Source organism: Homo sapiens, chromosome 11 (genome assembly GCF_000001405.40).
Source record: "Homo sapiens chromosome 11, GRCh38.p14 Primary Assembly".
Taxonomy (NCBI): Eukaryota; Metazoa; Chordata; class Mammalia; order Primates; family Hominidae; genus Homo; species Homo sapiens.
In genome coordinates this window covers 34,637,152-34,651,401 of record NC_000011.10, presented here as the reverse complement: position 1 = coordinate 34,651,401, position 14,250 = coordinate 34,637,152, and the positions used below count along the sequence as shown (strand labels likewise).

Below are 14,250 nucleotides of genomic sequence, written 5' to 3'. Positions count from 1 at the left end.
AGCTGCGTTACTTTATAATAATGTTGTCTAATTTTCCTTTCAGCATCCTCGGGGAAATGGCCTCATCCATGTGTTCTGTACCTATTGCATTTTTAGGGAAGTGAGAGAAGTTGCAAGAATGGGAACCTGTCCTAGACCAAGTGGTTCCTGGGAATTTTCCTAACCTGGCTTGGCTTTGTTCTGCATTCTACTGCATAATCACCAGAATATTTTTACCCTAGAGTGTGGTGGGGGGGAAGGCCTTGTTAGGGATTAATTTATTTAAATGTATAATAAATAATTAATGAGGCCTTGGGGGGTTAATGATATTTCTTTCAGGAAGAGTCTTGTCAATCTTATCACAGTTTCTTCCTTGCTGAAATCCAGAGATTTGTCATCCAAGTTGGGTGACAGCCCCCTCCCTCTAGGATTTTTCCAATTAGCTTAAAGGATGACATAAAATTCTCAAAACAAAACCAAGGAGAAGGGGTGGACTGTGTTACTAAATCAAACAAACACCTTTTAAGAGTGAAGCCCCACTGCCCCATCGCAGAAAAGAAGTGCTCTTGTACTCTGTCTCTCTTTCTCTTTCTTCTGTGTGCTGCGGTAAACACCTCTCACTTTGACTGACTCTTCAGATTTCAGATTCAAAGGGAACTCCCCTCCACCTACCCCAAATGGAGCTCAACTCCTACGCAACCCCCAGATCTGGGCTGGTCTCCAACAGAAGCATTTTGTTTCTTGGCTAGCCAAAAGCTGTAAGATCTCTCACCTCGTCCTCACCAGAAACTTCCTGCTTTCTCCTCACCGCAGACCTAGGTTACCCTCAGCTCCCCTCCTTGCTGGGTTCTGAGTTTTAGGGCCGGGGTGTAAGCCACTGACTGAGTTTCATTTTGTTTTTATAGCACAAATGATACAAAACCTGACTTACTGGCTAAGTCCTCGTGTTTACGACATAGGGATTTAGCCGGTATTTTAGCTAATAGCTACATGTTTGGACACCCCAAGCCCAATCTCTTGGGGTTACACCCTCTCTCCTTGTTGGGTCACCTTGTACACCTGTTGTTGTCTCTGAAAACAAACTGAACCAAAGAGGTATGGGGGTGTTGGCCCCTCTATGAGCTTCTTCTCCCCTCCTCCTAGGGTGGACCTTCTTCTCCACCCTTCCACTCAGCTTTTCTGAACTGGCAACACAAGAATGTCTGGATGGTCAAGAAGGAATTATCAAGTTATTTGGGACCTCTCCAGTATTACCCTGGCTCCTTCGGTGGGGCTATCTGACAGGTCAAGCAGGGGAGGGGGTGCCATCCTCCTGACCAAGTCCTGCATCCATCTCTAGGGCAAGGCCAGGCCTGTAAAGCACAGAACATCCAGATGGCCCATCCCCTGGCCTCTGAAGAGAAAGGCAGGGCTAGCAAAGCCTAATTTGCATGCTTAGCAGCTATTGCTTTTTTCTTTAATAATGGTAGGCCAGCCCACTTATGAAAGGGTAAATAACTGCATGGGCCAATTTTGGCCCCAAGTGACTCACAAATCACCTGCAGGTCAAATTCTGTCCTTGGTGACTGGGACACATCCTCAGGGAGGTCTATGGAAAGCTTGGTTGGCCCACGTGGCTCCCAGGCTCCCAGGCATGAACATGGGGAGTGACTTAGGAGCAATAGTTGCTGCACAGTTTTATGATGGCTCATGGACTTTGGAGGACAGTCTCCAGGAGAGAGATTTAGGACAGGGGAAAGGAAACGAAAATGAATGTAGATGCTATGGGACTGTAGACTCTGCTCAGAGCCCAGCATTTTGTCCTTCATATAAAAACACACCTAAGGCAGGAGCTGGGTTGCAGGTACCTTTGTACATCTCTGCAGAAGCTCCCCAGGGCCCCTAAAAATTTGTTAACTACAATACCAAGTTAGTATATTCACCCTTTTTGTGAAACACACACCCATCAAGGGAGGAGGGAGAGAAGAGGAGACATTGCCCCTTCCTCTTCTCTTTCCAAACTTGGCCACTCCCCTGACACTTTTTAAGGTGGGGAGGCCCACCATATATTCTGCTTTTCCTTGGCTGCTGGCCTGAGGTCTGGATGATGCCACAACCAGGAGTAGGAGGCAGAGAAGTGTGGCTCCCCATAAGTCTATAAATTGGAAATAGGTGGCAGTCACTGGTCGCAAGGGCAAGAATGAGATTCATGGTGGGGGTGGCCCATCAGAGACAGCCAGGGAAAAGGCCTCCCTGTGTTTCCTGCAAAAACTTGCCCCCACATTCTCTCTTGCCCTCTCCCAACTGTCCTCCCCGGAGCTTTGCCAGGCTAGGTTGGCTCCCTTTGTCCACTACTACTCACCAGTTTGTTCAGTCTTGACAATGACATTGTGTGTGGACTGGAACAGGTCACTACTGCACTGGCCTGTGAAGGACAGATTGGGATAGTCAGAGAGGGCCCAGATGGAGCCAGAACTGGATGCTTAAATAAGGACAGAACTGGCATCTTTGCAGAGCTTCTGCCATCCTACTGCCTGGTCACCTATGTTTGTTTATGGGAGGTGGTTTCTCTGTCAGCCTCTACAAACTCAAGCCTGCAGTCTCTGACCCCAGAAAATTGGGAATCTAAGGCACTACCTTAGAAGCAATTATTTGATGTGGTATAGTAAAGGCATTCAGTATGGTGGAAATAGAACTTCAGAAGCCCAGTTTTTCAACTACTAGCTATGAGGAAGGTGTGTGCACTTTACCTTTCTGGGTCTCAGTTTCCCCATCTGTAACAAGATTAAACTAGATAAGGTCACTAGATGACTTCTAAGGTGCTTTCCCATACTAAGATATGATATGAAAATGAAAATGTAGGGAAAAACCTTTTTAACTAGCTTGATTCTTCTTTGATTTAAAATCTAATCAATGCCATCATGATTACATCCAATCTGTGAGATATGTCTGGATAAAATGTGGTGACTCTTTCCTTATTTATGCCTCAGCACATGTACAAGCAGTACACATCACATGACCTTGTTTGCTTGCAACTCCTCTCCCATTATCATATATAAAAGCATATATATGTATGCTTATATATATATATATATATTTGTAAATGCATATGAATCTAGTCTGTTTTCTTCCCCAGACAGATTCTAAACATCTCAAGAACAGAAGCCATGCCTTTAACCTCTCTGACATTCAGTCTTCCCACCTGTAAAATGGGCACAATATTTACTTTGTCATAAAGTTATTAAATGAATTAATTCACTTACAGTGCCTAGTATAAGTAAATACTCAATAAATGTTAGTTGATAGAAGGTCTACACAAAGGCAAACAACAAAAGAGTGAGCAATCTGCCTGGACATTAGGAACTCAGAGGCTACAGCAGCATGCGATGAGACCAAACAAGTCATGGGAAGTCAGAGACAGAAGGTCTAAGATGGCCACAGCACCTCCCAGGCCTCCCTGCCTCAGACCTCAATCAGGGCAAAGCTTTAAAGGAGTGGATTTAATTGGGGGGTGGAGGTAAATATTTTTAATTCTTCAAGTGTAAGTCTGATCTTTTTGAAGATCCCTGAGGGTTATTTATAGAGCCTTGTTTGGTTTGATTCTAGTCAAAGAAAAAAGAGCAGCCACCAATGTGAGGTGGGTGGGAAGCAGGGCATGGCCAGGGAGCTGAATGACATCATCTAAAATGGCCACCGCAGCCACAAGCTCTGCTGCAAGGCCCCAGGTCCTCTTCAGTGTTGATGGCTGTTGCCAGGGTATGACTCTGGTTCACAGCCCTGGAGCTCATGCCGCCCAAGTCCCGGTTACTTGCCCAAACATGGGTTCTACCAAGACATAAATGCCTTTTCCAGTGCAGACAGGCCAACTCCCTGTTCTTAAATATTGCTACTTTTCAGGATGCCCATAGTTCTCAGAAGAGCTAGATTTTTACAGCCACTATCAGGGGAACCTTATGCCAGTGTCAAAACCATTCTGCAAGGTCAGTTGTCCACCCTACTAGGTCTTACATGTCAGTATAGGATATGTTCGTGTATGAATAATCTACCACTCAAAGACAACATCTGGAATGGTGGCCCATCCCTGTGCTAGGGGAAGCCTCAGAGAGACATCTGGGGCATTAGGGCAACAGAAATTCCAGAAACCACCACAGAAACATTCCCCATACACGTGTCTAGACCATATGTTCTAACCCTTTTTTTAAGTTACAGACCTTTTAAGAATCTGCTGAAGTATTGTGAGTTTTTTCCCCTCCCAAAACACAAACATAGTTCTAATTTCATATATCTTCTTACCACCCTTAGGACCCTATCTTAAGAACCTAGGTCTAGAAGGTTCTTTGTGTGTGTGTGTGGGGGGGGTTTTGTTTTGTTTTGTTTTTTGTTTTTTGTTTTTTTTTTTGTAACCATGATGATCTTTTTAACAAGCAAGTGACTGGACTGTTTGCAAAGGAAAGAAAACATTTTCCAAGGATAGTAAGTATTCTACGAATTCCTAGCCAGCTTTTGTCTTCTTGAAAATTATCACCATAAGGAAAGAATTAAATTACACTGGCATTTATAAGGGATTAGGCACACCAGGTACCCTATGCTTCAATCCTGTCCTTTCATCTTCCTTCCATTTCTCTGTCTTGGGACATGGTAATTTGGAGGTGAGACCACTCTTTCTTGTCCCTGACAAAGAATCCTGTCATCTGCAGAATCTCTATTCTTCCAGCTGGCTCCTAGCAGGGTAGGGAGAGACACAGAAAGAGAGAGTCACCGTTCCACTTCAGATGCTGCAAGTTGCTGTAGAGGAGCTGCCCCGCCGTCCCTGCCGCCCGGGTGAACTCCTGCAAACTCATGCTGCAGAGGTGCTCGCCGTTGATGTCGAACTCTTGGAAAGGGATACAATTGGCATCCAGCTGGTTGGTGTCCAGGAGGTGCTGGAGCCACTCCCACACCTGGTACTTGGTCCAGTACTGAGGATGAATTTCATGCCACTGGCCTCCAAAAAACCCACTGGAAACTGCAAAACAGGAAGCAGCCTCATGAGTGACCCCTGGCTGTTCCTGGCCATAGTATCTGACACAGGGATGTACTGTTGGCTGCCAGATATCTCAGAGACACAACCACAGTCCGTGTATGTGCCAGCATGGGTGATGGAGCAGAAGTGCATTTTCATGTCCTCCCTAGCCTGCTACCTACCCCTGGACACTGGATGAGGACAAGAGAGCTGAAGTGCTCAGAGCTCATCCCCCACCTCCCCCAAAGTAAAATATCATGAAAGCTAGAGCATTGCTATCATTTCAGCAATTTATTAGCTTATTGTCCATACCCAAATCGTTCTCTTCCTCTTCTCTCTCACTCACTCTCTCTCATTTTTTCTCTCTTATACATACACACACACACACACACACACACACACACACACACACACCACCAAACTCAGACCATTTTCAACTAAAAATAAGGCCTGAAATTAAGGTTCTTTTCTCTACGATGCCTTTGCTTTTCCTCAAAGTGGTCCAGATTATTGATCTACTAACTGGACTGATATCCCACTGCCCCAGCCTAGTCATTATAGCTATCATGATGTCACTTCCCTACTCAGTTACCTTTAGTAGTCCTCATCACCCACTGAAATTAGGTATAAAGCTGCCTAGCTAGGCATTGAGGCTCTTCACTAACTCTTCTTCAAGTAACCAATAACTTGTCTTTTCTCTATGCTGTTCTTTCAGCTAAGCTTGTGTTCTACCTCTCACTCCTGTTGAATTCCTACCCATCTTTCGAACTCTGACCATCCTGTAAAATCATTCCCAATCCCCCCAACTTGCTTCAAGGGCTCACTGTCCTCTTACCCTCCAGGAGACATGCTTGGTATTTCTAATGGCTTTGTCATGTTCTGCTTTTCTGTACAGGTCTCTAAGTGCCGTCTTATTCTCCTTTGTAAATTGTATGCTTGAGGTCACAGACTGTTTTACTTGTCTTTGTATCACCTAAAAAATGACCTCAGAGACTTTGTCATAGTAGATGCTCACCATATATTTATTTAATGGAATGTATTTTTGAAGAAGAAATAAGGTAGGCATCTGAGGAGTTGGGAGGTACGTTTAAAAGATGGTACATTCACAAGATGGTACATTCAGATGCCAATGAAGAAGTGCAGTTCATTAAACTGGATAAATATTGCTGAACCTAATATGTGCTAACCATCTGTATATGTGACTCATGCTCACTTAAAAAAACATTCCATAGTCTGCCCGAAGTTCTGCGGCAATGGAAAAGACAAACCAGCATCTGAGGGCATGTAACAGGGCTGAGAGAGCTTACAGTTCCCTTGGAAATAGATGTTGGGAAGGAACTCTCTTTCAGGAAAGATGAGTGAAAGGGGCAAGGGGCAAAGACTATTGCATCCCACCAAGCTGAAGCAGGGGAAATCCAACAGAACGTGACACATGGATATTCCAACAAATTCAAGGGTGGACCAGTAGAAGAAAATGTAGTGCAAGAAAACTGTCTCTAACTTTTTCTTCAAGGTCACGCCAGATCAGTTCTTCTCAAACGTGATCGTGAATCACCAGGGAATACTGTTCAAATGCCGATTCTGATTCAACAGGTCTGGGGCAAGGCCTGAGTTTCTGCATTCCTAGCAAGCTTCCATGTGATGCTGATGTTGCTGGTCTATCGAATTACAAGTAGCTAAAGGCCTCAGAAAGGTTTAACTCCCATAATGCCCATGGTCCAGCCCACAACACCCTCAGAGGAGAGACTGAAAGGGAAATGTTTCTGACCCAATCCCTCTTCTTCCTCATTCATTCAGAATCCATCCATGGCTTCCAGACCTCAGAAGCACTAAGAGCAGGAGGTCAAGTTTATCTAGCACACAGAGGTGACTGCCGTTAGTAATACCCACCACTCACAGTATGCACTTAGCTCCTCGTACCTCATGGCGAAACAAAAGCAGCCCCTGGCCCACAACGTGGGCTCTAAAGAGGAAGCCAATAGTCAGGGGTTGGGGGAGGAATGGAACAATCTAATCTAAAAATCTAATTATATGGAAATAGTCCCAAATACACAGACCTTGGGCTGGATCTTTCCATTTCCCCCAATTTTTGGTGCCTCACAAATAAAGCTGTTTAAGGATGGGATATATATTTTGTGGCTCCCCAAGTCTTTCATCTTTCTTTTTCTAAAATAATTGTGTTGCTATGACAGTACAGCTCTGGTTTTGACAACAAGAGGCACCAACTTTTAATAACCTAACAGCACATCTAGAATAATCTCATCTGCAAACTTGATACGGTCTAGATTAAAAGATAGTCCCTGCTAGTGTATCTTGTTCAAACTTGGGAGAATCAGGGATTTTTGTCTGAAGCTGACTGGGGAGATTCCGCATCAGACAGAGAACCCACCAAATTCCTGAAGTTTCAGGAGAAACAATAAAAATTCCTATGAGTTCACATCCTCTCTGCCATTCAACTGATCTCCTTTTCCTCTTCAGTCTCAATCAAGGCTGAGCTTTCTTTGAGGTCTCTGGAATTTAAGAAATAAAAGTGGCACCCCAGTTCTACTTCCTGCTGAACACATTTCCCCAGCTTTCTCCAGAGCAAGCAGGAGAAATGCTGCCTTCATCGAGAGGCCAGGGTCCTGGGGATGCCAAAGACTTCCAGTTTTATTTGGAATCCACTTTCTGGGTCCTCACAGGGTATTTGAGGCCCACAACAGAAAATGCAACTGCCCAGAAAGTGCAGCAGTTTGGGGGGACAGGTGACCGAGTAAGGGAAGCTCACCTGCTCACCCTTTCAACCATGTTTGACTAGGATTCCAAATTAAAAGAGGTGGAGCTCCACATGGATTAGCACTCGCTGCAGAATAACTCTCCCATTATCCTCCCACTTCTGCCTCCTCCCAAGCTCTGGTCACCAACAAACCATCTCCATATTTCAAAGCAAACTTGAACAGCAGAGCCTCTGGCAGGCAGATTAGCAGTGGGTGTGGATTGAGAAGAGGCCCAGAGCTCCCTAAACTCACTGCTGTTGGATGCACAGCTGAATGCCTAAACTGGAGAGCTCTAAATTGGGGTATGGGGTTCCCGATTCAGCAACAACTTGATTCAGAGATTCAACTTGATTCAGGGATTCAACTTGATTCAGGAAGCCACAGGCTTGATCACCAAACCCTCTATACGCCCCACCACCAGGTCCCCTCTTCTTCTAATAGACGTGTTCTAGATTAAAGCTCTAGGGAGAACACCTGTTCTCCTTACAAATCTCCTCTCCCCTTGCAAAGAGAGGCCACTGGAAGACGAAAAAAGAAAGATTGAACTGCTATAACCCTCTCCTTCCTAACCTCCATGCACGCGCACATACACACACACACACACACACACACACACATACCCTTTCTCTCCTAGCCTATCTTGATATCCCAGCAAAACACTATTAAAAGCTCCAACAGAGAGTCTTTCCTTTAGGCATCTCTTCTACCCCCCTTCACTGCCAGGCTGTCAATCTGGAACCTTGAATTTTGGGAGGAGGCAATAGAATATCTCAAACGAGCTTTTGTCTGGAACGCTGGGGGCTGGTAGGGAACTCCAAAACTGAGTTTTCTCCATTCCTTCTTGTCCCACATCTTCTGCTGTAAAGCCTATATTTTTCAAACATTAGGTTGTGAGAGGAATTAAAGCAAAGAGCCCACACAGCACAGCAGTGACACCAACACCCACAGGCCCTCTTACCATTGCACGTGGAGTAGCTGTCTGTCCAGGCTGGCGGCTGGTGAAGGAGGTTGTTGCCGGGGTTGAGATTCATTACACCACCTCCTTCCAGAATCATGATCTGTTAGGGGATCAAACAGCCTGTTCAGTCAGTGCCTCTTGGACAAATGTCATTGGAAAGTGCAGATCACAGAGTAAATTTAGGAAGAAAATAAAGAGAATTTGTCCTTCCACCCATTGCCTGCCACCCATTGCCAAAGCGTTTTTTGTAAAAGCAAAACTCACAGCAATTAAAAATTTCCAGGTTCAATTTTCATATGCATGAGGCAAGTTTTTACAGCCACCCATTCATAAATGAATAATCTCTGATCAGGAATGAAGCGGGAGGAAAATGCAATACCTGCTCCCAGGGCGAGGCTGGCTGGCATCCAAGCAGTTTTTTTTTTTCTTTTTTTTTTACAAAAGTGAAAATGCCAAGGAGATTTTATTTAAAGTATTTAAAGTGCAATTTCAAACAATGAAAATCCAAGCTGGTGGCAGCACAGCCCCAGCACCTGTGTGGGAGCTCGGACTGCAATCGCACCTGCACACCCAGTAACAAGTTTCCTCAGTGCGGGTATCTGCCACAGGCTGGGCTGGTCATCAAAGGGCCTCAGTCATATTTTAATAGAGCTCTTCAAGTATCTGGCTTTGTGATAATATCAGGAATCAGTTGGTTTCTCTGACAGACACTGCCCATTTCTGGTAAAGAAAAAAATTTTTCCTTTCTGGTAACAATTATAACCAGTTTTTTTTCTCCTGTTAGAGACCTGGAGAATTTAGTGGGTTTCCAAGCTGACCTAAGTCAAAGTGGCTTTCTCAGTCTGTGGGATCATTTTTTCAGTAAAGGACTTGGGAGAAGAGATTTCTTCCATGGGCCTGTTTGGGTTTATTTTATAACAATGCAAACATTTTACACTTCAGAAATATTGTCTTCAATTGTCCAGTATTTATAATGTCCCTATTCCCAAGCGGGCACCCTCCACCTTTCAGAACAGATCCCCAACCGTGTGTTCAGTCATTTAAACGAAGAGCAGCCTGTTTCCAGATCGCTATTGGGCAATACCCAGAGGCTGTAAAAGTCACTTGCTCTTTATAAAATGTTGGGGTGGGGAGAGGAATTCAGCTTTATAGCAGCAATTCATGGAAAATTTTCTGCTTGTTTTGGGGAAATTTTGCATCCTCGGGTATTACCAATGTCCACAGGATTACAATTGCCAACCCAGAGGATTTTCAGCCCTTGGCATTCCTTCCCCTAATTTAGCTACGGCTCCTCTTGTTCTGAGTAAGGCCTATTGGGGGAGAAGAGGGGTCTGCAAAAGGCATACGAATATATTCATGTATTCATTTATTCAACAAATATTTATCAGCCCAATAATGGGCTGGGCACTATTCTAGGTGCTGGGGAGAGAGCAGTAATTAAAGGTTGAACTAGGCTACACACAAACATGTATGATGATTATTAGCTTCATCATCACTGTTGCTTGGTAAATAATTAGGACTGAATCCAGCCTAAGTAGAAGGTGGAGAAGGAAAGACAGGGTAGGGATGATGGACATTATAACAGCAAAGAGCCACTGGGTGGGAAGATAGGAGGACTGGATTATATGTCCTGGCACCATGTATAGGAGCTTTGAAGCCAGAAGAGCTGGGGTCGATTCCAAGCCTTCCTACTTACTAGCTAAGGTTAGTACTCACCCAGACAAGTTACCTAACCTCTCTGAACCCCAGTTTTCTCATATGCAAAATGCAGCTAATCATACCTCGTCTGTACATTGATTGGAGATTAAATGAGTTTCTGTACCTCGAGCACCTGGCACAAAGTAGGGCACGAATACACGTCAGGTGTTATCATGAGGAGCGTCACTAGCTCTGTGGATAGCCTGAACCAGAAATGATGCTGGGCCTCAGTTTCCCCACTTGAAAATTTACAGATGGTGACTATACTGATCATAAGTTCCTTTTCTGAAAAGCTCTTTGATTCTCACCCTCAGAGAAAGAAAACAACCTCAAGTCAAACCTTCTTTCCTTTTTCATAATAACTGGGTATTTTCCCATCCAACTTTGTAGAGCAATTGCCCTAAAGCTAAGAAATCAGATTGGGAACTTCAAGACGAAAGAAAATCTCTAAGTCCCCAGACCGGGTGGCTGGTGGAAGGAGGGGGGCCCAGGGCCCAGTGTCTTGTTTGCTCAAGGCTGGGCTTGTTCCTTGCTAGCATTTGCTCAACCACAAGCAGTGGAAAGGTTACTGTTTAACCCTGAAAGGGCTGAAGCTCAGAGCCCAGCCCATTTGCATGGAGGGATTGGCCTTCCAGGCTTAGGGAGGACAGGCAGGGAAAGGCTTCTCTCAAATTCTTTCACAAGGATTTGCCTGCAGGGTTGTTTCAAAGTGGTCATTTCAGTGGCAGCACCTGCCTGGGCCAGCTATGCTTCCTGACAAGCAGAAAGCAGGGTGGCGTGGAGGCTGTGCACCCAGGCTTTGGAGCTGGAGAGATGCAGGCTCAGATTCCAGTTCCCCTGCTTACTGTGGGTGACCCTGAACCAGTGCCAAATCTGTCTAGCCGCAAACATTCTGTTCCTCACTTTCTGTACCTGATAAATGGGAACAACACCAAACTCAAAGGGCTGTAAGAATCAAATGAGGTCATGCACATAGAGAGCTTGGCAAGTAGTGAAAAAAAAAAAAAGAATTTAATAAATGTTGCAGAACAATATGGGCCAGTTCTCCACCTGTGGCCAAATGCCCACAAGCCCCTCTCCTCAGGGCCGACGTCATTTTCCACCATGACCTTCTGGAAACATCCAGAACTTCTCCCAACCCCCAGAGATGCCTTTAAGACTACAGGGTGGCAGCTGCCCCATCACCATCCTCCTGCAAAAAGATGGCCTGTGCATAGCCCTGCTCCCTGCTGGCACTCCCTTTCCAAGGGAAAGCAGCCAGCATGGTGAGGGGCCCTTTTTTACAGGGCACATTAAGTGGTTTCCACTCATAAAAGAGTTTGTGTGGCTTAACCCTTAGTGAGTCAGAGTTCGCTTGAGCTCACCTGGGCTTGTAAGCAAAGAAGGTCAGCATTTCCAACTGGGCAGGGAGCTGCAGGGAAAGATGTCCTCAGGGTGGGCACATGAGGCCCAGGGCCAGTGTAGCAGAAGGGCTTTGGCCGAGTCCTACCCTCCTCTGAGGCATAGTTTTTCAGGCGTAGAGTGAAGACACTTGCCCCAACAGCCTCACAGGACTGTTGAGATGGAATGAGATCGTGGATAACAAATGTGACTTGAGAATTGTAAAAAAACCTTATTATAACGAACTCACCCATACTCCCATATGCTAATGTAGACTTTCTGTAGTATATAGTAATTGCTTTCTGGGGTATAAAAAGCAATCCTTTTAATTAGAAAGTAGGGGAATTATTGAATGCTCTTATTTCAGCTCCCTACTTTGCTTTCAGCATAGCTTTCATTATTTTCCTTAAAAAAAAAATACCATCAAATGTGTGGAAGTAGAGACTTCAGAATCTGAGATTCCTGGGTTAGACTCTAGGTCCCATCTTTCAGCCATGTGACCTTGAGCACGTTAACCTTTCTGAGCCTCCATTTCTCGCACTGGTTTAGAAATGGGAGAGCTGGAGGGGGTTGCGGGGGAGTATTTGTTTCTCCTAAGCCTAAGGGCTGTTTTGAAAGATAAATAATTATAATGGGTCTAAAGGTGTCTTGTCTAGCCCCTGGCAAACATGTCCCCCATCAAAATCAGTTTCCTTTCCCTTCTTTAAACATTAATTCTCAAGGTGTTCCTCTAACACATTTTATTTCTTCCAGGACTGAATCCCCAGTTCAGAGCCTAAGTGAGAATGACTCCACCCTGGGAGTCAAAAGCAAGCTGGGAAAAGAACTCACTTCTCCCCATCTTCTGCTGGAGGCAGGAACCTCGGATGGGGAGGCAGAGGAGGAATCCTCAGCCACCCTAGGTAGTGGTTAAAAGCAGAGTTTCTCAACCTCTCCACCACTGAAATGTGGACAATCCCTTCTGTGGGGGCTGGCCTGTGGATTGTAAGATGTGTAGCAGCACCCCTGGCCCCTACCCTCTAGATGCCAGCAGCACCCCCTCCACACACACCATGTCCCTGAGGCAAAAACCACCCCCAGTGGAGAATACTGGTTAAAAGCTTGTGGAGGCAGACAGCTCAGGCTTTGCTCTTACTGACGTGACAAACTTAGGCTGTCCCTTAGCCTTCCTGGGTGCCATTTCCTCTCCCGGAGAATAGGCATAGGCTTGCTGGAGGGTTAAATGAGACAAGGCACCTCAAAGCCCACAGCAGAGTGCCTGGTACCTATAGAGTAATTGCCTGATCTGTGAAGGTTTAAGAGAATACACTGGGTATCAGAGCCACCTTTGTCTGTTCCCAGGTGGTATGTATTCTGGGGAGATTGTATAAATTATTACCTGAGCTATTACAAACTGCACACACAAAGAAAAACTATACCTCTTATTTCAAACTCAAAGAGTGAAGTGTGACCGGGTGCGATGGCTCACGCCTGTAATCCCAGCACTTTGGGAGGCCGAGGCGGGTGGATGACTTGAGGTCAGGAGTTCGAGACCAGCCTGGCCAACATGGTGAAACCCTGTCTCTACTAAAAATACAAAAATTAGCTGGGTGTGGTGGTGCATGCCTGTAATCCCAGCTACTCGGGAGGTTGAGGCAGGAGAATCGCTTGAACCCAGGAGTCAGAGGTTGCAGCGAGCCGAGCTCGAGCCACTGTACTCCAGCCTGGGCAACAGAGCGAGACTCTGACTCAAAAAGGAAAAAAAAAAAAAGGAGTGAAATGAAATGTAGATTATCCTGAGATTTTTTTCATATATATTTCCCTATCCTTTTTCATAGGTAGGAACAATTGGAGGGAAGTGTATTTGATTTTGAGACACTACTGATTGTCCAGAGGTTGACATTTTTCCCAAACTTCACCTCTTTGGGCAGAAGTTTGTAAGACTCACAGTTGTGGGGCAGAATCGTACTCTTTATTTGAAGAGAAGGAGCCCTGTGTGCTACCCAATAGACTGAAGAACTGGCAAGTACAACATGCCAGGCTTCTTGCCAAGACCTATTTAGCCTTAGGCAGCAAGTCCCCTACAATGTGCCATAAGCTCCCCTAAAATTATGGGCCACTGGGGCTTGGCCAATCTGAAATTCTTTTTGCAGCAAGAAAGCACTGTTCTGTGCTAAATGACCAGCCTGAGACATGGCGGGAGATAGGCCAGCCTCCGCATCTCACTTCTTTTAAGGGCAGTTTCAGGTACACACAAACTCCCGCAGTGCCCTGAGTTGCCAAGCACTTGGACTGCTTCTGTGCCAGCCACACAGAGACACATCCCAGCCCCATGCGCCTGCTTCTCCAGGCTTGCTTCGCCAAGGGCTTGCTTCCAGAAAAGCACCACCCTGACCACCATGCACAGCCTGGACCCATGAAGGGGAGCAGGGGGAACAGAGCACTTGGTCTAACCCTAAAGTTTAAGAGTCTCCTATTTTGGCTGCTGGTCGGTGGCAAATATGGGCATAGCAGAAGGT

At 45.5% G+C, this 14,250-nt stretch overlaps 1 protein-coding gene across 33 annotated transcripts in view, besides 1 other annotated feature; it reads right to left on the bottom strand.

Annotated features, from left to right (window-relative positions):
- Nucleotides 1-14,250, bottom strand: part of EHF (ETS homologous factor) — a 42,196-nt gene that overhangs the window by 11,887 nt on the left and 16,059 nt on the right. For 23 of the 33 annotated variants that reach the window (NR_165391.1, NR_165390.1, NM_001378041.1 and 20 more), the window contains 3 exons: nucleotides 8,675-8,774; nucleotides 4,718-4,963; nucleotides 2,321-2,383 (listed from right to left, as the gene is read on the bottom strand). Coding sequence is in view for 31 of the 33 variants with exons in the window: in NM_001378053.1 (NP_001364982.1) it covers nucleotides 2,321-2,383; nucleotides 4,718-4,963; nucleotides 8,675-8,774 (409 nt within the window). In the remaining 2 variants the exon portion in view is untranslated. Of the gene's footprint in view, nucleotides 1-2,320; nucleotides 2,384-4,717; nucleotides 4,964-8,674; nucleotides 8,775-8,938; nucleotides 9,031-9,053; nucleotides 9,395-14,250 lie in introns of those variants that run through there. The other 10 variants (NM_001378043.1, NM_001378050.1, XM_047426755.1 and 7 more) reach the window with 4 other exon arrangements.
- Nucleotides 509-758: an enhancer, noted in NCBI's record as "active region_4606". NCBI's record gives its function as "activates an Ori minimal core promoter by ATAC-STARR-seq in GM12878 lymphoblastoid cells {active_cell/tissue: GM12878}" and the evidence as "EXISTENCE:reporter gene assay evidence [ECO:0000049][PMID:35858748]".